A 6,073-nucleotide genomic window follows, 5' to 3' on the forward strand; every position below is an offset into this window, starting at 1 on the left:
CTAGGATCTGCTACTTCTCAACACTAGGCTACAGACATTCTCAGCAGTTATCATCTTACTGGGCTTAACAATAATGTACAAGGAACATAACTGCAAAGTGGGCTACTGTGTCTCACAAGATGAGAACAAAGGAAGTGCTGGAAGAGTTTCAAGTCTGGCTGCAGAAAGCTGGAAAGATGACAGTCTACTTGGGAAAATGATACAAAATGTCTGAAAATTTAAGCAACTGCTCAAGACTCCTGTCTTATGAGGGAAAGGAGGCGGGCTCCCTCACAAGACATTAAGGCTGCCTGTGAGGGCTGTCACCAGTAGTGTTACTAAGTTAAGATCCTAATGTACAGTGTGGACACATGAGTGTTTCTCTTTCTTTTACAAATGCTGCTAAAGAACATGCCCATAGAGGATATTTGCAACACCTTATAAACTAAACCTGACAATAGGAAAGACCATACAAAAAGTATGTACCTTTTAACTTTTTTCCCTTAAGAAAGAAGTTCTAGGTAAGGTAATCAGGTAAGAAATTATTCAAATAAAATTAGAAAAATCAAATATTGCTCTGGTTATACATGTAAAATAATTGCATTTATTCATTAAAATAATGCATTGTATGTATTGATCCATCTATAATTTATGAGGCACTGGGCAACCTAATCATGAATTCACTCAGTCATTTATTGTGTCTGTTATTTCAACCCACATTATTGAACTTCTGTTATGTGCAAAGCTGTGGCCAGGGTGTGGATTTCTCCATGGATAAGACATATTCTGTCCTAGAGAGGAGGCTAGAAAAACTACAGTTTAATGAGCAGATATTAGATGCTCTGTACTATGCTAAGAATTTTATGCACAGTATTTCATATGAAAATTGTAATAACTCTGTTAGGCAAGGCTTATTGTAATGTTCTTAGAGATGGTGTATTAGTCTGTTTTCACATGGATAATAAAGATAATGAGACTGGGTAATGTATAAAGAAAAAGAGGTTTAATGGACTCACAGTTCCACATGGCTGGGGAGGCCTCACAATCATAGTGGAAGGTGAAGGAGGAGCAAAGTCACATCGTACATGGTGGCAGGCAAGAGAGTGTGTGTAGGGAAACTGCCCTTTATAAAGCCATCAGATCTCATGAGACTTATTCATTGCCACAAGAACAGCATGGGAAAAACCCACCTCCATGATTCAATTACCTCTCACTGGGTCCCTCCCATGACACGTGGGGATTATGGGAGCTACAATTCAAGATGAGATTTGGATGGGGAAACAGCCAAGCCATATCAGGTGGGAAAATGAAAACTTAGAGAGCTGAAGTAAGTTGCATAATTCACTTAGAGTTGGTTAGTGGCACACCCAGACTGGAAATCCAGGTCTCTCAAATTGCAAGTCTTTAAGCCAAACCATGGGGTAAACAGCTGAAAATTCTGCTAAGTTGCAAATTATGATTCAGCTTATCTGATACAGGGCCTAAGGTTCTGCTTTTCTAGTGAGTTGCCACATGATAACCATGTTTGTGGTCTATGAACCAAATTTTGAGCAGCAAGGATACAGAAGACCTACATATTCAACTCTTCCTTCCAAAAAAGGACCTAAATTTTACTCAGAGTTCTCTTCTCTCCCTCACTGCAGCCCATGTGACTCAATGGAGTCGGACCCTATGTCCATCTCCAACCTGAATCTTGGTCACTTTATTACTCTAATATTTTATTTAATTTTAATTAAATTAATTTAAATAGCACTATGGTAGTTAATATAAATAGCCACAGTACTATTTAAGTTAAATTCATTACAATTAAGTAAAATAAAACTTTTATTTCCTCAGTTGCTCCTGCAGCCTTAAAGTGTATAATAGCCATATCTGGCCAGTGGCTACTACATTGGCCAGTGCAGAATGCGGCATTTCCTTTTTGCAGAAAGTTCTATTGTGCAGCACTGAAAGTTTAGAGTAAACATAGTAATTCAACTTCCATTATCTCAAAATCCTCTTTTTAAGAGCATGATACTCCCCTAGCAACTACTATCAGCCAACACATGTATAGTTCAGCTAGACCGGCCCAATATGATTGAAGGACAGGACTAAAATCCTTGGTTAAGGGAGAGGTTTCCTCTCTCTTTCTTTACACACTAAATTAAACAAGGAAATGTGTATCTCCACTTGTTGTTGGCAGCCTCTGCGGCCTTCGGGTGAAAGGAGGACTTCTGGAGGGCAAAACAGAACCCCTGGTGGACTTGCAGTAGAACCTCACCTTCCTTTTTATTTATAGCTTCAGTGGTTATGAGCCCTGACAACAGTTAGTCTGCTTACATTACTAGACAGACCCATTGTAGTAGAACAGAAAAAACAAAGCTAGATTGCAAAGACTGGAATAAATAACTAATTCTTTAATGTGTAGATATATTCACAAGCATCAAGAACAATCAGAAAATTAGGACCTAATTAAAAGGACACAACAAGGTTCCTGTGACAGGCTCTGAAGAGATGGAGATGTATGATCAGTTACACTAAGAATTCAAAATAGCTGTGTAAAGGAAGCTCAGTGAGCTTCATGAAAACATCAAGAAACAATTTAAAAAATTATCAGAGAAATTTGACAGAGAGACTAAAATAATAATAAAGAAATCAAACAGAAATTCTAGAGCTGAAAAATATACTGAATGAAGTAAAAAATGCAATAGATAAAGCGTTTATCAGGCAGAAGAAAGAATCAGTGAACTTGAATACAAGCTAGTTGAAAATTCACAGTCAGAAGGAAAAACAGAAAAAAGAATGAAAAGGACTCAAGAAGGCATATGAGACAAATGGAATAGCATCAAAAGAGCAAATTTTGGGGTTATTGGAGTTCAAGAGGGAGCAGAGACAAAAATAAGTAGGATATTTATTCAAAGAAACAATGAGAGAACAATTTTCAATCTTGGAAAAAGATATAAATAATCAGTAGAGGAAAGTTAAAGGTCATCATTCAGATTCAACCCAAATAAGCCTACTCCAAGACATATTATAACCAAATTCTCAAAGGCCAGACACAAAGAGTAGCTTCTGAAAGCAGCAAAAGAAGCAAATGACATATTTTTAAAATTCCAAAACAGCTGACAACAGGCTTCTCAGAAGAAATCTTGCAGGCCAAGAGGCAGTGAAATGATATATTCAGAGTTCTGAAGAAGAAAAAAAAAAGCTGCCAACCAAGAATACTGTACCCAGCAAAAGTATCCTTCTGAAATGAAGGAAAAATAAGGACTTTCTCAGACAAACAAAAGCTGAGGAAATTCATCACCTCTAGACCTTTCTTACAAGAAATGCTAGAGAGAATTCTTCAAAGTGAAAGCAAAGGGTGCTAACATATGATAAGAAAATATCTGATGGTATAAAACTCACTAGTAAAAGTAAACATACAGACAAATTCAGAACGCTTTAATACTGTAATCCTGGTGTGTAAACCACTTGTATCTTCAGTATGAAGACCAAAAGACAAAAATAACTACAATAATTTGTTGAGATAAGCAATATAAGATATAAAATTTGATATCAGTAATTCAAAATATGGAGGGAAAATGGAGTTAAAGAGAACAGGTTTTTTTGTTTATTTTCCTTTTATTGAAATTAAAGTTAAGTTGTTATCATTCTACTATAACTTGCTAAACTATAAGATTTCTTTATATGCCTCATCATAACCAAAAATGAAAATGTACAATAGATATACTAAAAATTAAAAGCAAAGACTCAAACATACTACAAAATACAATTATTTAACCATTAAAGAATACAGTAAGAAAGTAAGAAAGAAAGGGTCTAGAAAACTAATAATGAAATAGCAGTAGTAAGCCCTTACTTATTAATAATTACTTTGATTGCACATAGAATAAATTCTCTAATTAGAAAACACAGTGTGGCTAAATGGGTAATGCAAAAAGAGCTAACTATATTCTATCTACAAGAGACTCACTTAACCTGTTAGGGTACACATAAAGTGAAGGGTGAAAAAGATATTTAATACAAATGGAAACAAAACAAGAGCCGAAGTAGCAATACTTTTATCAGGTAAAATAGACTTTAAGCCAAAAACTGTAAAAAGATGTAAAAAAGCCCATTATATAGTGATAAAGTTCTCGATACAGCAAGAGAATATAACAAGTGTAAATATATGTGCACCTAATGTGGGAACAATTTAATATAGAAAACAAATATTAATATACCTACAGGAAGATACAGACTTCGATATAATAATAGCAGGGAACACTTCACTTTCAGCAGTGAGTAGATTACCCAGATGGAAAATCAAAGAAACACTGGACTTGAACTGCAGTCTAGACCAAATAAACCTAATAAATATTTACAGAAAATTCTATCCAAAGCTGCAGAATATACATTCTTCTGGATTGCATATAAAATATTCTCAAGAATAAACCATCTGTTAGGGCAAAAAACAAGCCTTAACAATTTTTTAAAAATCAAAATCATATCAAGTATCCATTCTGACTGCAATAAAACTAGAAATTTATAACAGGAGTAATTTTGGAAACTATACAAACACATGGAAATCAAACAATATGCTTCTGAATGACAAATAGGTCAATAAGAAATGTAAAATACGTTTAAAAATTTTTTTGAGATAAATAAAAATGGAAATACAACATTTTGAACCCTACGGAATACACCTAAAGCAGTGCTGAGAGGGAAGTTTACAGTAATAAACACTGACATCAAGAAAATACAATAATTTCATATAAACAATCTAATAGTGTATCTCAAGGAAGCAGAAAAGCAAAAATGAAACAACCCCAAAATCAATAGAGGAAAAGAATGAATAAAGAAAAATAAGAAATAGAAACTAAAGAAGATCAATAATAAATTTTAAAAAATCAATGAGTTGGTTTTTTGAAAAGATATACAAAATCAACAAAACTTTAACAAGACTAAGAAAAAGAGAAGATCTAAATAAAGAAATCAGAAGTAAAAAAGGAGTCAGTACGAACTGATACTACAAAAATACAAATAATTATGAACAGATACATCCCAAATTGAAAAATCATAAAAAAGTTGATAAATTTTTAGATATACAGCCTAACAAGAGAGGATCATAGAGAAATAGAAAACCCAAAGAGACCAATAATGAGTAATGAGATTGAATCATTAATAAAAAGGCTCTCATCAAAGAAATCCAACAGTTTCATTGCTGAATTCTAACAAACATTTAAAGAGGAACTAATACCAATTATTCTCAAACTATTCCAAAAAATTGAAGGGAAGGCAATTATTCCAAACTCAATCTCTAAGGCAAGCATTACCCTGTGATATGGTTTGGCTGTGTCCCTACCCAAATCTCATCTTGAATTGTAGTTCCCATAATCCCTTTGTATTGTGGGAGGGACCTGGTGCGAGGTAATTGAATCATGGGGGCAGGTTTTCTCCTGTGCTATTCTAGTGATAGTAAATAAGTGTCACAAGATCTGATGATTTTATAGAGGGCAGTTTTCCTGCACATGCTCTCTGGCCTGCCACCATGTAAGAACTGATTTTGTTCCTCCTTCACCCTCCGCCATGATTGTGAGGTCTCCCCAGCCATGTGAAACTGTGAGTCCATTAAACCTCTTTTTCTTTATAAATTACCTAGTCTCCGGTATTTCTTCATAGCACTATGAGAACGTAATAATACACCCGGATACCAAAAGCAAAGAAGAACACAATGAAAAGGAAACAAACAAGAACAGAAAACCACAGGTCAATATTCCTGATGAAGACAGATGCAAAAATTCTCAACAAAATATTCACAAACCAAATTTTGTAGTAGCACATTAAAAAGATCATCCACCATGATCAAGTGGGGTTTATTCTAGTGATGAAAGAGTGATTGAACATATGCAAATCAATGTGCATCATACATTATATTAATACAATCAAGAAGAAAAAACTTATGATTATTTTATTATACACAGAAATTCAACATCCCTTTATGCTAAAAACTCTCAACAAATTAGGTATGGTAGGAATGTACCTCAACACAATTAATACCATATACCACATCCAAAGCTAACATCACATAAGTAAGGGCAAGTAAAACGCATTTCCTATGAGATCTGGAAGA

This window comes from Homo sapiens, chromosome 11, assembly GCF_000001405.40.
Source record: "Homo sapiens chromosome 11, GRCh38.p14 Primary Assembly".
Lineage (NCBI taxonomy): Eukaryota > Metazoa > Chordata > Mammalia > Primates > Hominidae > Homo > Homo sapiens.